Raw genomic sequence first — 19696 nt, 5'->3', positions numbered from 1 at the left:
AGAAAGAAAATCAATTTATTGAAGAGATATCTGCATACCCACATTTATTGTGGCACTGTTCACAATAGTCACAATATGGAATCAATCTAAGTGTCCATCAGAGGATGAATGGATAAAGAAAAGTGGTATATATACACAATGGAATATTATTTAGCCATTAAGAAAGAATGAAATTTGCAGCAACATGGATGAAACTGGAGGACATGTTAAGTGAAATAAGCCAGGCACAGAAAGGCAAATATTGCATGTTCTTACTAAATGTGGGAGCTAAAAAAGCTTATCTCATGGAAGTAGAGTAGAATGATGGTTACCAAAGGCTGGGAAAGGTAAAAAGGAGGAAGGATAAAGAGAGATTGGTTAATGAGTACAACAATACAGCTAGAAGGAATAGTTCTAGTGTTTGATACCATCCTATGGTGAGTATAGTTAACAATAATTAATTATTTATTTCAACATAGCTAGAAGAGATTTGGAATGTTCCCAACACAAATAAATAATAAAAGTTAGAGGTGATAAATACCCTGATTGCCCTAATTTGATTATTACACATCATATGCATGTATCAAAATATCACATGTATCTAATAAATATGTATAATTATTAGGTATCAATTTTAAAAATTAAAAAAAAGCTAAGTGTATCTAAAACAGAGCCTTGCAAAATTCCAACACCATAAAAAGAAGCAAGCAAAAACAACTGGAATTAACATTTTTGCTAATCAAATAGTAACTCCATATTTATATTATATAACTTAGGTTAGTAAATTATAATTATAAAGCCTATTATTATCATTAATTATGATAGTTTTATAAGACATGTATAATTACACAATTCCACATACACAATACTGTTGATTCAGACTAACATTCTGCATGTGTTAAATATTCTTGCCCAGTGTAATTGTCACTTTAAGAGTTGAGTCTTTTAAGAGTTAAGAGTCCTAATTTAAAGTCAGAAACCTGAGTTCAAATTCTACTTCTGCCACTTAGTATTGATGTGATTTTGCAAGTTAATTAACATCGTCAAACCTCAATTTCACTGTCTGTAAGACAGAAATACTAATATTTCACCTAAGGATTTGAACAGTTAATGTCTAAATATCTATAAATCACATTGACATGTACACAGAAGATACTAATTTAAAAAAAAAGCTCTGTGGCAAGTAACAATGAAAGCAAGCAAAAACAAGTTTTTACTATTTTTTATAACAATGCTACACTCTAAAAATATATCGACAAGCAATGTGACCATTACCTTAATAAGTGAGACACCAACAGGAGAGGAACTAACTCAAAAACCAAGACGAGAAGAAAAACATAAAAAACAGGAATTTATTGTGACAAGTTCTTTCTGAGGACAAAGTTATCTGGCTCTAACCTTTTCTTTAAAAATGTAATCCTACCTTAATTCTTCTACTTAATATTGATCTTCTTTTAAAGGACAGTGCATACTTGCCCTCCTCAGTTAGCATATGTAAGTGGTGTAAGTTTAAATTTTAATATTAAAGAAAAATTTTGTTGTTGGGTTTCAACTAGAGCATTAAATATGAAAGTTCAAGTTTTGAAGTTTCTGCCAAATTTTATATTTTACATAACTTGTACAGAAATGTATTAAGTCTTATAGTATCATCAGATCACTGTGACTGACTGCAATATGCTTGAGTTTATAGACAGAGCTTCTAACGCTCTAGTTTTGACATTCCAATTGCATAAATATTGCCAACAAAAATTTATGAATTAACAATGTGTCTTGTCTCTATTCTGCTCCATTACCCTACTTTATAAATGGTAAGACTGGAAACTGATCCAAACAGGCAAAGAGCTAAGGATGGAGCTTTGGAGAGTAAAAACATTTAAGCACAGACCATGGAAGAAAAGCCCTTCAAAAAGCCTGAAAGAAGCTGTGAAAATCAACCTATAAAGTGTTGAAGAGTAAGTGAAAGTTACGGGAGTCAGAGACAAGGAGTGCTGACTGCTCTTTTAAGGAGTTCAGTTATTAAGAGATGGAAATGGATGATAGAAATAAATTAGATGATAATTCATCATTATTTCCCCTCATCTCATACCTTCTCTTTCTCATTTATTGCTTTGCTTTTTATTTATTTATTTACTTTGAGATGGGGTCTTGCTCTATTGCCCAGGCCGGAGTGCAGTGGCAAAATCTCAGCTCACTGCAGCCTCCACCTCCCAGGTTCAAGCAATTCTCCCACCTCAGCCGCCTGAGTAGCTGGGATTACAGGAGCATGCCACCACGCCCTGCTAACCTGGCCAACATGGTGAAACCCCATCTCTACTAAAAATGCAAAAAATGTATTGCTGTTCTTCGTGAATGTTACCACCATACATACTGCCATCCAAGTCAGAAGCCTTGATTACTTCCGTTCCTTCATCTGTCTTCTGACTCATCTTCCTTATTCTATCTTACCTCTCAGTCTAGTATCAACATAGCAGTGAGTCAGATCATGCCACTCCTCTGCTCAAAACCTTACCTAGTAAATAAGCCAACCATATGGTATGTTAGAAGTATATATCAAATAGAAGGGTCAGGGTAGGCTTTATTGAGAAGGTGGTATTTGAGCAGAGACTTGAAGGAGATAAGTGATATAGCCAAATGGACATTTAGGGGAAGAGCATTTCTGGCAAAAATTCTTTTAAAAAGAAGGATGCCTGGAGGTTTTGGAGAATAGCAAGGAAGCTAATATGGCTTCAGCAGGGTACCACAAGGGAGAGAGTGGTGAAAGATGAGGCCAGAAAGGAAACAGAGGTCTGATCAGTTTGCTACTCATTACATTCATACTACAATGCCTCACTCTCCCTTCTCTATCTGCTATCCCACCACTATCCCCTGCCACACACACATGCACGCACGCACGCACGCATGCACATCGAAAGGCAAATGTTCTGGATTTGATTTCCAACAATCAAGGTCCTTATATCTCAGCTTTTTTTTTTTTTTTTTTGGTACCATTTCTAACACTTGAAGTGTTTGTGAGAATCGCTTCCAGTCACTCTTCTCCATTTGTCCACTTTAATGGACCAGGTCTGCATGCTGAATGTTTCAGGTAGTAGGAACTAAGGGATAGAGACTATGAATACCAAGCCAGTAAGAGCATCAAACATCAAGATAAGAACACACAGCCTAAGTAACACAGTGAGACCTCATCTCTACAAAAAAATATAAAAATTAGACAGATGCAGTGGCATACACCTATAATCTCAGCTACTCGGGAAGCTAAAGTGGGAGGATCACTTGGGCCCTGGAGTTGGAAGCTGCAGTGAGCCATGGTTGCACCACTGCACTTTAGCCTGGGCAACAGTGAGACCCAAAAAAAAAAACTATATATATATTTTTTTCTCATATATATATATATATATATATATATATATATATATATATTAGAGAAAGATACTGATGGAATAAATAAAAGGATACATGTATGAATGAGCTCTGGATTCCCAGCATTTGAAGCATTTTGGAGTTCTCGGAAGAGAAAATGGAGGATATTAAGGGAGAAAGAAACAACTCAATAGGCAGACCAGTACTGAAGCAGAATATATTCCAGGGTGTGGGTCTGAAGCTGAAAGATATGTCACCATGCCTGTCTCATCCCCAGGGAATATATACTAAGCTGTAAAATTATATCGAATCCATTTTTTATTTTTTGAGATAACAGTAAAAAGGACTCAAAAGAGGATATAGAAGGAAGCACTATTTAACCAGTTTCATATTATAGCTAACTTCTTTTGATTCCATTTACCCAAAATCATGACCATCAACCTTCTCTTATATACATACCCCTATTTTTTACATAGTCTCCTCATTTATAGAGACTAGGCTACAAAGAACTATAGAAATTCCATGAAATAATTTCTGTAAGGAAAAAGGGCAGAAAAGGCAATGAAGAAAAGATCTGCTTTAGAATTTCCCTATGACCCAGCAGATGGTGCAATAGGCACATTACTCTGCCTTCCAGACAGGCAGAAAAAAATGAGTGCACACAGATGGTACTGGAACTTCACTGTTTATCCTTGCTAGTTTTGTTTGTTTGTTTTTCCTAGGTGAAACACTCCATTCCTGAAGAACTGTTTCCAAAACCCTTCCTTTACCAAGACATGAATATTTCCCTACTTGCTGACTATTCCTAGGAAAAAGCAGATTTGAATTTGAATTCTGTCTTCTCCACTTAACAGCTAAGTGACTTGAAACAAGTTACAGATTTCATCTGAGCCTCAGTTTTCTCATCTGCAAAATGGAAATATAATATCTAGATAACAGGGTTGTTGTAAGAATTAATGAAACAATGTACACCCACACACAAAGCACTGTGCTTGTCATAAAAAGGAATGTAATTTTCATTCTTCTGCCAACACACAGAGAAAGGCACTCAAAAACCTAGAACATGGCACATACCATAGAAAAGCTTTTCTCCTGAAACCTATCATCTCCAAGTGGAAAAACCACTAACCAAACCCATGATGGAGGAATCTTCATGTCCAACTCTGTTACTATGGAGCACACACTCTAAAAAAAACAAGAAACTGTTTTGAAAGTGACTTTTGTGATAATCTAGTCCTACTCTTAATAAGTAATTCTCAATGGGGAGAGAAGAGACCAAGACGCATATGTAATATGCTTCTTATTTTCATGATACAAACGAGGAAAAAAAGCCCAACAAAATTCTAGTTGGTGAGCATATCCAGAAAACAACGTAATGAAAGAATTAATTTTTTCTTTAATAGTAAAAAACTATTCATATGATACTTGACAATAAATTCAGTTACTTCACAAAGAGCTCACTGCATTTTCAGTCAATGCAAATATTAAATATTTCTCCCTTACATCAAATCAAAATTTATCTCCCTTTTACGAGCAGCCAAAGGTCCCTTGTTCTGTTCCCTTTCCCCACCACCCCACACATGCTGATATTTACAAATTCACCTTCACTCTTGTTCTCTCATGCAAGAGTTAGTGGTTCTGATGTCCCACACTTTTCAGCCCTTCTTTTCTCTCAGATCCTCCTCTCCCAGAGAATCTTCCTGAAAAGCAAATACAGAAGAGGAGCAAAGAGTGGTAAACTACAGCCTGCAGTTCATAGCTAGCTTGTCATCCATTTTTGTGTAGCCTACAGGATAAAAAGGTTTTCTACATTTGTAAGCGGTTGAAAAAATATATGATATGTGAAATTATATGACATTCAAAGATCAGTATTGATAAATAAGTTTTACTGAAACATAGCCATGCTCATTTGTTTACATATCATCTATGGCTGCTTTTATGCTACAATAGCAGAGTTGAGTAGTTGCAACAAAAACTATCTGTCCTGCAGAGATAATATTTTGTACCATCTGGCCCTTTACAAAAAAAAAAGTTTGCTGGCCCCTATTTCAGGAGAACACTAGCCCCAAGAGCACGTTCACCTGGAATAGTCTTCTCTCACAACCCTCTCCTCCCTTCGTGACAACAGCTGGTTCCTGCAGGAAATCAGTCTTCACTCAGCAAATTCCACCCCCCTTTACTCCCACAGTCTCAGCCACACCTTTAAAAAGTCATTGTTCTGATGAAGCATGAAAACCTGGCCCAATCAGATGTCCAGAGGAAACACGGCTACAGAATGGATACTGACTCTGCAGCCCTCTGGGCAATTCTTAAAAGAAAACACATAGCCTAACAATAGTTGAATTTGGAATCATGTAATTTATCACTTGCCAACAGTTGCTACCACACCTTCTCAAATCCTGATGACCATATTGCACAAGTTTTAAGTCCATGTAACTTCACACACCTTCAGTGAAATTTGTGTTATATGTTCACAATGGAAGAAATGCAGAGCGAGGGCCTCAGAAAAAAGCAGAAAGCCACTCATTGATTCTCAATGCTAAGATTCCGTTTATATTCAGGTAAAATCATGTCCTCTGAGGCAAAGATGGCAAGAGAGAGGGCAGACCCTAGTCCTCCTGTGAAAAGATGGAAGTTGGCCAATGCAGAGGACTATAGTCTTGATCCTTGCTTCTCTTTCAAATGAATTCAAACTGACATTTATTGGAGACCGTTATGTGACAAGCAGTATACTAGGTCTCCAAATGACATAAGGATAAATAATGTCCATTCCTTATTCTCAAGGAGCTCATAGCCTAGAAATGAAATAAGCCCATAGACAAATGTGTGTGTCTGTGTGTGAATGTGTGTGTTTGTGAAAGGCAAGGATATACAACAAATAACTAACAGTAGTTATTTTTGGCTAGTGGCTTTAAAGGTATTTTGATTTTATCTTATTTGCTTATCAATATTTTCTAATTTTTATATTAAACAATAATTGTATAGTAAAACAATTTTTAAAGATTACAATATAGTATGATTGATACAACAATAAATATGAATAAGGTACACAATTACAACTCCCTCTTGAGTAATTCAGGAAAGATTTTCTATGGGAAGCCTAAATTGGATTTTGAAGAATAATTAGTTCACTAGGCAGACAATGAGGAAAGACATTCTAAGAAAAAATATGAAATAACATATCCCATGGTATATTGAGGAAGTTTGAAATATTACTAGTTAATTACTGTTGGAGTACAAAGAGAAATATGGAGGGGAGAAATGGAGCTGGAAAAAAGCCACAGCCCAGATCATGAGGAACCATGGATACCATGCTAACAAGCACGCATTTCTTCCTAAGGTTATATGGTGTTTGAAATGAAAGCTATGGTGATGAATGGCCAATAAGGGGTCTGGTAAATTGAGGTACTTAATGAGTTAAAGGATGGCCTGGAGCCATTATCCAATTCAAAAGGTAATAACAATACCAAAGATGACACTTTGGCTGGAATACCATTTAAGAACATTTAGCTTAGAATGGGAGAGTTTGACTAGATGATCTTTACAGTCCTTTTAATCATCAATTTCCATGATTTTTTGACATTTGGGCCATGATGTCCCTGCACACACTCCATTCAACTTCTATTAAAATCCACACAATTTGTTGTCAATATATTGTGCTAGATAGTTTGATGAATACAAAAACAGGCCTTTCTGCAGTGTCCTGACCCTTTGGCAGGTGGGGCTGAGAGTAGCCCAGATTTGGGAACTGCTAATGCAATCTTAGGTGAACCTGTAAGGAAGTCAGGAAGAAGGTAAACACCTGGGAGGTGGAGATAGAGGTGGAGATGGGCTTGTTTAGGAGTAAATTAGGACATCTCAAAATTAGCAACTCCTCCCTAAGAGGGACCATTATTCCCTCTATAAAAAGGCCACTCTGCCCAACTCGCAGCACCCTGAAAGCTGTTTCTGTCTCTACCCTACTTGTTCCTCTGGTGAGCTAGGTAAGTGAGCAGTTCAACTCCGCTCAAGGGTACTTAGGGCTATAAATTATGAAAGTCCAGGATGTGCTCTAAGGCAAAGAGGCACTAGATACAAGGCTTCTTTTTAGTATACTCTGGGGAACTTTGGTATAAGTTTAAATTTACTGAAAAGAAAAATGAAACAAAGACTAGGACTATGTATATTATCTCCTTTCTTTGAGGTCGCTTCCCTTATAACATGGATATCATGGGGTTCTAATTATCCACAGGCAGGTTGCCTTCTTTACAACTGAGCTTTTCCTCTCTATTGTGTAATAAGGTCTGAGGGTCACTTCCTGCTTGGAGAATGAGAACAGAAGCTGGATCTAATAGCAGTTACCCTTAGCTTCATATCACCTAGGCTTGTTGGCTTTGCTCACATTGTCTATTTTCTCTGACCTAGAAGTCTTGAGAGTTCAGTTCAGCCATTGATGCTCCTTAGGTTGAGTAAGGCATGTCATGTAGATGATGGACCTATGCCCACAGTATGCTTCGAACCTAGAAAGAGGAAGCAGATGAAGTGGAACACTCAGGACTTCTACAGCTCCAGAACAAAGCTAATATTATCCCTGGTAATGGCAGGAAGCCAAAAACAGAAAGTCATTTTTCCTACATTCATTCAGGAATGGAAATAAGACCTATGGATTATATTCCTAATTTCATCACTCTCTTGCTACATGGCTTGAACAAGTCATTCAACTCTGAATTGGTTCTTGATTACAACAGAATGAATTTAATCATGACTGACTAATTCTGAACAATTATTATAAATAATTAGAACTATTTATGTGTTTAAACAAGAAATAAGAATAGTAAGGGGTTGGTCTCTCTTTTTCCTCCCTTTAGGTTACTCAAACTTGCAAAAAAAAAAATGCCTAAACTCCTACAAGGCGTCATCACTGTCATCGATGTTTTCTACCAATATGCCACCCAGCATGGGGAGTATGATACGTTGAACAAGGCAGAGCTGAAAGAACTTCTGGAAAATGAGTTTCATCAAATTCTGAAGGTAAGAACTCCACGCCAGGATGGAGTTATGCAGGAATTTTCTTCTTTATCCCTTTCCACCTTCTTGTCACATATGTCAAACATCCTAGAGGATTGTCCTTACTTGGTGAGAGAGAACAGGGTTTGGTAAAAGTTTGAGATAAGGTCAAAAGCAGATCCGTGATGGTTTCCATAGCATAACTAACGGAAGTGACCTTACTAAACAACAAACAAAACCCACAGGTTAAATAATGTCCTATCTAAGTGACTAATTCCTACAAACCCAGACAGTCCTCAGAAAAACTGTGAAGTAGATTTCTGAGTTCAGGAAATTGGCATTTACTCCTGAATCACAAAAGAATGTGTCCACCACCTTAAAACTGTCAGGTCTAGATTTGATAGCTTAGATATTTGGGACCTTATATCAGACTCCTGAGTTTCAATTCCTTAAATTTGGATTTCTGTGGATTTCAGATATGATATTCAGATATCAGATGTCAGATATTCAGTGTGTCAGCTATGAATCTCATAATCTTCCCCACTAACCTTTTTCCTTCATCTTTTTGCCCAAAGCAAAAACCTGGTGTCATTTTTTATTGTCTCTCTCTCAGCAGACACCACTACCTTCTAACCTCCATCTAACTCATCAATAATCTCTCAAAACAACCCATTTCTCTTCATCACTATTATTAGTCCTCTGGTTCAGGCCACCTACTACTTCTACTCTCAGCATTGGATGCAAATATAATCATTTCACTCCTCAGCTAAAAATCCTTCAATAGTTCCCAATTGCTCTTAAAATGAAGTACAAAGTTCCTTAACATAACTTAAAAGTCATAATCTAGTCCCTATTTGTCTCTCTATCCACATTTCTTGACTCTTCAAACTCTAAATCTAGCAATCCTGAATTTCCTTCAGTTCCTTGAATGCTCCATAACTTCTCTCACCTCTAGCCCTTTGTTCATATAATTCCCTCTGCCTAGAACAATCTTTTCCCCTTCTCTTTCTCTTCCTACTTCTTCATTTGGCTAATCCTAATCCATCCTTCAAAAGGCATCATTTCCTCTCATTAACCTTTCTAGGACCCCCAATGTTTCCTCTCTGATGTACTCTTGTAGAAACCTTACCACAATAAATTATAATTTTAAGTTTGTATATCTGGCCAACTAAACTTTAAATTCCATTTTTTTTCAGGAAGCAAACTTGTTCACTTCTTTATACTCTCATATGACATAATGGTAGGCAACTAGTAAAATAATAAATCTTTGTTCAGTGAGTAAATTAAGTAGCTAGTTAATTTAATTGGATAAATAAAGTTGATATAATTAATGTAGGTATAAAAACATATTACTTATAAATTAGCTAATCATTCATATTTGACCCATTCTTTACCAAAAATAATCAGCCCTCTTGTTTCCTTTCATCTTCCAGTTGCATCCTATTCTAGCTGTTTCCCACCACATTATTCATTCCATATTCCTTTTTCTCTTTCTGCTCAGGATACAGAAATGCAGCCTAAAGGACTGTGTGAATGAGTTCCATATAAATAACCCAAACATTTACATTTTCACATCTTTCCTTCAGTTCGTTAGCCAGATGTATTGTCCATACTAACAGAGCTACTCTTTGTACCTTTCTCTTATACAGAATCCAAACGATCCAGATACTGTGGATATCATCTTGCAAAGTCTGGATCGAGACCATAACAAGAAAGTGGATTTTACTGAGTATCTTCTGATGATATTCAAGCTGGTTCAGGCTCGTAATAAAATCATTGGCAAAGATTACTGCCAAGTTTCAGGGTCAAAGCTGAGAGATGACACTCACCAGCACCAAGAGGAACAAGAAGAAACTGAAAAAGAGGAGAACAAACGGCAAGAATCCTCTTTTAGTCATTCAAGTTGGAGTGCAGGAGAGAATGATTCCTATTCCAGAAACGTCAGAGGAAGTCTTAAACCTGGGACTGAATCCATATCCAGAAGACTGAGTTTTCAAAGAGACTTTTCTGGCCAACATAACTCCTACTCAGGTCAGTCTTCCAGCTATGGTGAGCAAAACTCCGACTCCCATCAGTCTTCAGGCCGCGGCCAATGTGGGTCTGGGTCAGGGCAGTCTCCCAACTATGGCCAACACGGCTCTGGCTCCGGACAGTCTTCCAGCAATGACACACATGGGTCTGGCTCAGGCCAGTCTTCTGGCTTTAGTCAACACAAGTCTAGCTCAGGGCAGTCCTCTGGTTACAGTCAGCATGGATCTGGCTCAGGTCACTCCTCTGGCTACGGACAACACGGCTCTAGGTCAGGACAGTCATCTAGGGGTGAACGACACAGATCTAGCTCAGGTTCGTCTTCCAGCTATGGTCAGCATGGGTCTGGTTCCCGTCAGTCTTTGGGCCACGGCCGACAAGGGTCTGGATCTCGCCAGTCTCCTAGCCACGTCCGACATGGGTCCGGTTCGGGGCACTCCTCCAGCCACGGCCAACACGGGTCTGGCTCAAGTTACTCTTACAGCCGTGGCCATTATGAGTCTGGCTCAGGCCAGACTTCTGGCTTTGGGCAACATGAGTCTGGCTCAGGACAGTCCTCTGGCTATAGTAAGCATGGTTCTGGCTCAGGTCACTCCTCTAGCCAGGGACAACATGGATCTACGTCAGGGCAGGCATCAAGCTCTGGCCAACATGGCTCCAGCTCACGTCAGTCTTCCAGCTATGGTCAGCATGAGTCTGCCTCCCGTCACTCTTCAGGCCGCGGCCAACACAGCTCTGGATCTGGCCAGTCTCCAGGCCACGGCCAGCGTGGGTCTGGGTCAGGGCAGTCTCCCAGCTCCGGCCAACATGGGACTGGCTTTGGTCGATCTTCCAGCAGTGGCCCATATGTGTCTGGTTCAGGCTACTCTTCTGGCTTTGGTCACCACGAGTCTAGCTCAGAGCATTCCTCTGGTTACACTCAGCATGGATCTGGCTCAGGTCACTCCTCCGGCCACGGACAACACGGCTCTAGGTCAGGACAGTCATCTAGGGGTGAACGACAAGGATCTAGTGCAGGTTCATCTTCCAGCTATGGTCAGCATGGGTCTGGCTCCCGTCAATCTTTGGGACACAGCCGACATGGGTCTGGATCTGGCCAGTCTCCTAGCCCTAGCCGTGGCCGACATGAGTCTGGTTCCAGGCAGTCTTCCAGCTATGGCCCACATGGGTATGGCTCAGGGAGGTCTTCAAGCCGTGGCCCATATGAGTCTGGCTCCGGTCACTCTTCTGGCTTAGGTCACCAAGAGTCTCGCTCAGGACAGTCCTCTGGCTACGGTCAACACGGATCTAGCTCGGGTCATTCCTCTACCCATGGGCAACATGGTTCTACATCAGGACAGTCATCGAGCTGTGGCCAACATGGAGCTACCTCAGGTCAGTCTTCCAGCCACGGTCAGCATGGCTCTGGCTCAAGTCAGTCTTCTCGCTATGGCCAACAGGGCTCTGGATCTGGCCAGTCTCCTAGTCGCGGCCGACATGGGTCCGATTTTGGGCACTCTTCCAGCTACGGCCAACATGGGTCTGGCTCCGGTTGGTCTTCAAGCAATGGCCCACATGGGTCTGTCTCAGGCCAGTCTTCCGGCTTTGGTCACAAGTCTGGCTCAGGGCAGTCCTCTGGTTACAGTCAGCATGGATCTGGCTCAAGTCACTCCTCCGGCTACAGAAAACACGGCTCTAGGTCAGGACAGTCATCTAGGAGTGAACAACACGGATCTAGCTCAGGTTTGTCTTCCAGCTATGGTCAGCATGGGTCGGGCTCCCATCAATCTTCGGGCCACGGCCGACAAGGGTCTGGATCTGGCCACTCTCCTAGCCGTGTCCGACATGGGTCCAGTTCAGGGCACTCCTCCAGCCACGGCCAACACGGGTCTGGCACAAGTTGTTCTTCCAGCTGTGGCCATTATGAGTCTGGCTCAGGCCAGGCTTCTGGTTTTGGGCAACACGAGTCTGGCTCAGGACAGGGCTATAGTCAGCATGGTTCTGCCTCAGGTCACTTCTCTAGCCAGGGACGACATGGATCTACGTCAGGGCAGTCATCAAGCTCCGGCCAACATGACTCTAGCTCAGGTCAATCTTCCAGCTATGGTCAGCATGAGTCTGCCTCCCATCACGCTTCGGGCCGCGGCCGACATGGCTCTGGATCTGGCCAGTCTCCAGGCCACGGCCAGCGTGGGTCTGGGTCAGGGCAGTCTCCCAGCTATGGCCGACATGGGTCTGGCTCCGGTCGGTCTTCCAGCAGTGGCCGACATGGGTCTGGCTCAGGCCAGTCTTCTGGCTTTGGTCACAAGTCTAGCTCAGGGCAGTCCTCTGGTTACACTCAGCATGGATCTGGCTCAGGTCACTCCTCCAGCTACGAACAACACGGCTCTAGGTCAGGACAGTCATCTAGGAGCGAACAACATGGATCTAGCTCAGGTTCGTCTTCCAGCTATGGTCAGCATGGGTCTGGCTCCCGTCAGTCTTTGGGCCACGGCCAACATGGGTCTGGATCTGGCCAGTCTCCTAGCCCTAGCCGTGGCCGACATGGGTCTGGTTCCGGGCAGTCTTCCAGCTATGGCCCATATAGGTCTGGCTCAGGGTGGTCTTCAAGCCGTGGCCCATATGAGTCTGGCTCCGGTCACTCTTCTGGCTTAGGTCACCGAGAGTCTCGCTCAGGACAGTCCTCTGGCTACGGTCAACATGGATCTAGCTCAGGTCATTCCTCTACCCATGGGCAACACGGTTCTACATCAGGACAGTCATCGAGCTGTGGCCAACATGGAGCTAGCTCAGGTCAGTCTTCCAGCCACGGTCAGCATGGCTCTGGCTCAAGTCAGTCTTCTGGCTATGGCCGACAGGGCTCTGGATCTGGCCAGTCTCCAGGCCACGGCCAGCGTGGGTCTGGGTCAAGGCAGTCTCCCAGCTACGGCCGACATGGGTCTGGCTCCGGTCGGTCTTCCAGCAGTGGCCAACATGGGTCTGGCTTAGGCGAGTCTTCTGGCTTTGGTCACCACGAGTCTAGCTCAGGGCAGTCCTCTAGTTACAGTCAGCATGGGTCTGGCTCAGGTCACTCCTCTGGCTACGGACAACACGGCTCTAGATCAGGACAGTCATCTAGGGGTGAACGACACGGATCTAGCTCAGGTTCGTCTTCCCACTATGGTCAGCATGGGTCTGGCTCCCGTCAGTCTTCGGGCCACGGCCGACAAGGGTCTGGATCTGGCCATTCCCCTAGCCGCGGCCGACATGGGTCCGGTTTGGGGCACTCCTCCAGCCACGGCCAACATGGGTCTGGCTCAGGTCGTTCTTCCAGCCGTGGCCCATATGAGTCTCGCTCGGGTCACTCTTCTGTCTTTGGTCAACATGAGTCTGGCTCAGGACATTCCTCTGCTTACAGTCAGCATGGTAGTGGCTCAGGGCACTTCTGTAGCCAAGGACAGCATGGTTCTACATCAGGACAGTCATCAACCTTTGACCAGGAGGGATCTAGCACAGGCCAGTCTTCCAGCTATGGCCACCGTGGCTCTGGCTCCAGTCAGTCTTCTGGCTATGGCCGACATGGGGCTGGATCTGGCCAGTCTCCTAGTCGCGGCCGACATGGGTCCGGTTCTGGGCACTCTTCCAGCTACGGCCAACATGGGTCTGGCTCCGGTTGGTCTTCCAGCAGTGGCCGACATGGGTCTGGCTCAGGTCAGTCTTCTGGATTTGGTCACCACGAGTCTAGCTCATGGCAGTCCTCTGGTTGCACTCAGCATGGATCTGGCTCAGGTCACTCCTCCAGCTACGAACAACACGGCTCTAGGTCAGGACAGTCATCTAGGGGTGAACGACACGGATCTAGCTCAGGTTCATCTTCCAGCTATGGTCAGCATGGGTCTGGCTCCCGTCAGTCTTTGGGCCACGGCCAACATGGGTCTGGATCTGGCCAGTCTCCTAGCCCTAGCCGTGGCCGACATGGGTCTGGTTCTGGGCAGTCTTCCAGCTACAGCCCATATGGGTCTGGCTCAGGGTGGTCTTCCAGCCGTGGCCCATATGAGTCTGGCTCCAGTCACTCTTCTGGCTTAGGTCACCGAGAGTCTCGCTCAGGACAGTCCTCTGGCTACGGTCAACATGGATCTAGCTCAGGTCATTCCTCTACCCATGGGCAACATGGTTCTACATCAGGACAGTCATCGAGCTGTGGCCAACATGGAGCTAGCTCAGGTCAGTCTTCCAGCCACGGTCAGCATGGCTCTGGCTCAAGTCAGTCTTCTGGCTATGGCCGACAGGGCTCTGGATCTGGCCAGTCTCCAGGCCACGGCCAGCGTGGGTCTGGGTCAAGGCAGTCTCCCAGCTACGGCCGACATGGGTCTGGCTCCGGTCGGTCTTCCAGCAGTGGCCAACATGGGTCTGGCTTAGGCGAGTCTTCTGGCTTTGGTCACCACGAGTCTAGCTCAGGGCAGTCCTCTAGTTACAGTCAGCATGGGTCTGGCTCAGGTCACTCCTCTGGCTACGGACAACACGGCTCTAGATCAGGACAGTCATCTAGGGGTGAACGACACGGATCTAGCTCACGTTCGTCTTCCCGCTATGGTCAGCATGGGTCTGGCTCCCGTCAGTCTTCGGGCCACGGCCGACAAGGGTCTGGATCTGGCCAGTCCCCTAGCCGCGGCCGACATGGGTCCGGTTTGGGGCACTCCTCCAGCCACGGCCAACATGGGTCTGGCTCAGGTCGTTCTTCCAGCCGTGGCCCATATGAGTCTCGCTCGGGTCACTCTTCTGTCTTTGGTCAACATGAGTCTGGCTCAGGACATTCCTCTGCTTACAGTCAGCATGGTAGTGGCTCAGGGCACTTCTGTAGCCAAGGACAGCATGGTTCTACATCAGGACAGTCATCAACCTTTGACCAGGAGGGATCTAGCACAGGTCAGTCTTCCAGCCACGGTCAGCATGGCTCTGGCTCAAGTCAGTCTTCTAGCTATGGCCAACAGGGCTCTGGATCTGGCCAGTCTCCTAGTCGCGGCCGACATGGGTCCGGTTCCGGGCACTCTTCCAGCTACGGCCAACATGGGTCTGGCTCCGGTTGGTCTTCCAGCAGTGGCCGACATGGGTCTGGCTCAGGTCAGTCTTCTGGATTTGGTCACCATGAGTCTAGCTCATGGCAGTCCTCTGGTTACACTCAGCATGGATCTGGCTCAGGTCACTCCTCCAGCTACGAACAACACGGCTCTAGGTCAGGACAGTCATCTAGGGGTGAACAACACGGATCTAGCTCAGGTTCATCTTCCAGCTATGGTCAGCATGGGTCTGGCTCCCGTCAGTCTTTGGGCCACGGCCAACATGGGTCTGGATCTGGCCAGTCTCCTAGCCCTAGCCGTGGCCGACATGGGTCTGGTTCTGGGCAGTCTTCCAGCTACGGCCCATATGGGTCTGGCTCAGGGTGGTCTTCCAGCCGTGGCCCATATGAGTCTGGCTCCGGTCACTCTTCTGGCTTAGGTCACCGAGAGTCTCGCTCAGGACAGTCCTCTGGCTACGGTCAACATGGATCTAGCTCAGGTCATTCCTCTACCCATGGGCAACATGGTTCTGCATCAGGACAGTCATCGAGCTGTGGCCAACATGGAGCTAGCTCAGGTCAGTCTTCCAGCCACGGTCAGCATGGCTCTGGCTCAAGTCAGTCTTCTGGCTATGGCCGACAGGGCTCTGGATCTGGCCAGTCTCCAGGCCACGGCCAGCGTGGGTCTGGGTCAAGGCAGTCTCCCAGCTATGGCCGACATGGGTCTGGCTCCGGTCGGTCTTCCAGCAGTGGCCAACATGGGCCTGGCTTAGGCGAGTCTTCTGGCTTTGGTCACCACGAGTCTAGCTCAGGGCAGTCCTCTAGTTACAGTCAGCATGGGTCTGGCTCAGGTCACTCCTCTGGCTACGGACAACACGGCTCTAGATCAGGACAGTCATCTAGGGGTGAACGACACGGATCTAGCTCAGGTTCGTCTTCCCGCTATGGTCAGCATGGGTCTGGCTCCCGTCAGTCTTCGGGCCACGGCCGACAAGGGTCTGGATCTGGCCATTCCCCTAGCCGCGGCCGACATGGGTCCGGTTCGGGGCACTCCTCCAGCCACGGCCAACATGGGTCTGGCTCAGGTCGTTCTTCCAGCCGTGGCCCATATGAGTCTCGCTCGGGTCACTCTTCTGTCTTTGGTCAACATGAGTCTGGCTCAGGACATTCCTCTGCTTACAGTCAGCATGGTAGTGGCTCAGGGCACTTCTGTAGCCAAGGACAGCATGGTTCTACATCAGGACAGTCATCAACCTTTGACCAGGAGGGATCTAGCACAGGTCAGTCTTCCAGCCACGGTCAGCATGGCTCTGGCTCAAGTCAGTCTTCTAGCTATGGCCAACAGGGCTCTGGATCTGGCCAGTCTCCTAGTCGCGGCCGACATGGGTCCGGTTCCGGGCACTCTTCCAGCTACGGCCAACATGGGTCTGGCTCCGGTTGGTCTTCCAGCAGTGGCCGACATGGGTCTGGCTCAGGTCAGTCTTCTGGATTTGGTCACCACGAGTCTAGCTCATGGCAGTCCTCTGGTTACACTCAGCATGGATCTGGCTCAGGTCACTCCTCCAGCTACGAACAACACGGCTCTAGGTCAGGACAGTCATCTAGGGGTGAACGACACGGATCTAGCTCAGGTTCATCTTCCAGCTATGGTCAGCATGGGTCTGGCTCCCGTCAGTCTTTGGGCCACGGCCAACATGGGTCTGGATCTGGCCAGTCTCCTAGCCCTAGCCGTGGCCGACATGGGTCTGGTTCTGGGCAGTCTTCCAGCTACAGCCCATATGGGTCTGGCTCAGGGTGGTCTTCCAGCCGTGGCCCATATGAGTCTGGCTCCGGTCACTCTTCTGGCTTAGGTCACCGAGAGTCTCGCTCAGGACAGTCCTCTGGCTACGGTCAACATGGATCTAGCTCAGGTCATTCCTCTACCCATGGGCAACATGGTTCTACATCAGGACAGTCATCGAGCTGTGGCCAACATGGAGCTAGCTCAGGTCAGTCTTCCAGCCACGGTCAGCATGGCTCTGGCTCAAGTCAGTCTTCTGGCTATGGCCGACAGGGCTCTGGATCTGGCCAGTCTCCAGGCCACGGCCAGCGTGGGTCTGGGTCAAGGCAGTCTCCCAGCTACGGCCGACATGGGTCTGGCTCCGGTCGGTCTTCCAGCAGTGGCCAACATGGGTCTGGCTTAGGCGAGTCTTCTGGCTTTGGTCACCACGAGTCTAGCTCAGGGCAGTCCTCTAGTTACAGTCAGCATGGGTCTGGCTCAGGTCACTCCTCTGGCTACGGACAACACGGCTCTAGATCAGGACAGTCATCTAGGGGTGAACGACACGGATCTAGCTCAGGTTCGTCTTCCCACTATGGTCAGCATGGGTCTGGCTCCCGTCAGTCTTCGGGCCACGGCCGACAAGGGTCTGGATCTGGCCAGTCCCCTAGCCGCGGCCGACATGGGTCCGGTTTGGGGCACTCCTCCAGCCACGGCCAACATGGGTCTGGCTCAGGTCGTTCTTCCAGCCGTGGCCCATATGAGTCTCGCTTGGGTCACTCTTCTGTCTTTGGTCAACATGAGTCTGGCTCAGGACATTCCTCTGCTTACAGTCAGCATGGTAGTGGCTCAGGGCACTTCTGTAGCCAAGGACAGCATGGTTCTACATCAGGACAGTCATCAACCTTTGACCAGGAGGGATCTAGCACAGGCCAGTCTTCCAGCTATGGCCACCGTGGCTCTGGCTCCAGTCAGTCTTCTGGCTATGGCCGACATGGGGCTGGATCTGGCCAGTCTCTTAGCCACGGCCGACACGGGTCTGGTTCAGGGCAGTCTTCCAGCTACGGCCAACATGGGTCTGGCTCAGGACAGTCCTCTGGTTATAGTCAGCATGGAAGTGGCTCAGGGCAAGATGGGTATTCTTATTGCAAAGGAGGAAGTAACCATGATGGGGGAAGTTCTGGCTCATATTTTCTCAGTTTTCCTAGTAGCACTTCACCCTATGAATATGTCCAAGAGCAGAGGTGCTACTTTTATCAGTGAATAATAAACATAAATGCAATTTACTCAAGTAGCAATTTAAGAAATAGGAAAGTCATCTATGAATTCATCATGAAAGACAAGCAATCCATCATGAAATTCGTTCTAAAAGTGAATCAATGCATTTCTGTCTCTTTCTTTAGAGCCTAAAACTGTAGCATATATCTTGTTATGGGGTTCCTTCCAAAGACTGTTAGGCATTTGTGCTACTTTGTTAGAAAATACTGAGTGGAATAACTTGTTAGAATGAGGGTTAAACTTTGAGGAATAATGAAAAGCTTTTAAAGAGCTTTGGGTTTAGTTGGAGTTGTCTTTTTGAGAGCTCATCATTCATTTATAGATGGTGCCAAAGCTAACCTTACATTTCTTAGAAGCAAAATATTACAAATGCATTACCAGTCCTAGATACAAAGCTTTGTTTTACAGCAATTAGTGTACCCTAATTTTTAGTGTGCCCCAAGTTTGGTGTGTCCCAATTTTTGGTATTGTGGCAGAAGGTGAAGGCTCTGAAAGCAAAGATGCAGCAGCGGTAGTGTCTTTACTTATCAAAACCATCAAGTCCTTTTTCTTGGGTATATATTTAATCAGTAAGTTAATTAGTGGCATAAAAAAGTAGCATCAGGGTCTTTTCCCAAGCCAGTGAGCAAGAGCATTATTTCATAAAGAATAGGGATTTATCATTTCAGGAAAAAAAAAAACATTCAAATGTGGGCTTTAGCTTGTTTTCAGCAGAAAGATCTTGCTCCCTATTTCTAAGAGGCTGCTCAATATTGGGAAATATATTGAGGAGTTATTCCATGGAAATACAATGCTTTCCACCTACTACTGTAGTTCAATAACGTTTCCACCTGAAAAAATATCATCCATGCCCAGATGAAAAGGAAGAGTATCTGTCACTGCTACATAGTTCCTTAATTTGACTGTAACACATTTGTTTCAAGTCTTTGGATTCAAACAACCGGATTGTATTAAAATTGACAATAAATAAATGTTGATTAAATACTAAGACTTTTCTCATCTGTGCTTCATTTCACTTCTTACATACAGATGGTCATCCTAGAAACCAAACCAAACAGCGATTTCCCAATATTCTATTTTTCACAATGAAGAATAGATAAAGCATTCTTAAAACTCAATAAGACAAACTACTTCATTTTAAAATGATCAAAATTCCATCACACTGGTATTGGCAATGATTTTTTTGATATGACACCAAAATCACACACAATAATGTGGAGCTGTCAGCTCCATACATTTTATTGTCCCTGAAGCCCTTAGAGGGAGACAACATATGGAGGTAGAAGGCGATATTT

The 19696-nt window shown here is 45.3% G+C and overlaps 1 protein-coding gene and 1 long non-coding RNA gene across 6 annotated transcripts in view; one reads left to right on the top strand and one right to left on the bottom strand.

The window, feature by feature from the left end:
- Positions 1–19696, bottom strand: part of CCDST (cervical cancer associated DHX9 suppressive transcript) — a 177390-nt gene that overhangs the window by 135231 nt on the left and 22463 nt on the right. The gene's annotated exons all lie outside the window — the stretch shown is intronic.
- Positions 7269–19386, top strand: HRNR (hornerin). The gene is made up of 3 exons (NM_001009931.3): positions 7269–7319; positions 8184–8346; positions 9972–19386. The coding sequence occupies exons 2-3, from the start codon at positions 8209–8211 to the stop codon at positions 18384–18386; spliced, it is 8553 nt and encodes a 2850-aa protein (NP_001009931.1). The 5' UTR covers positions 7269–7319; positions 8184–8208; the 3' UTR covers positions 18387–19386.

The sequence above is a fragment of the Homo sapiens genome, chromosome 1 (assembly GCF_000001405.40).
Source record: "Homo sapiens chromosome 1, GRCh38.p14 Primary Assembly".
Taxonomy (NCBI): Eukaryota; Metazoa; Chordata; class Mammalia; order Primates; family Hominidae; genus Homo; species Homo sapiens.
The sequence above is the reverse complement of the archived record's forward strand: the minus strand, read 5'-3'. Positions and strand labels throughout refer to the sequence as shown.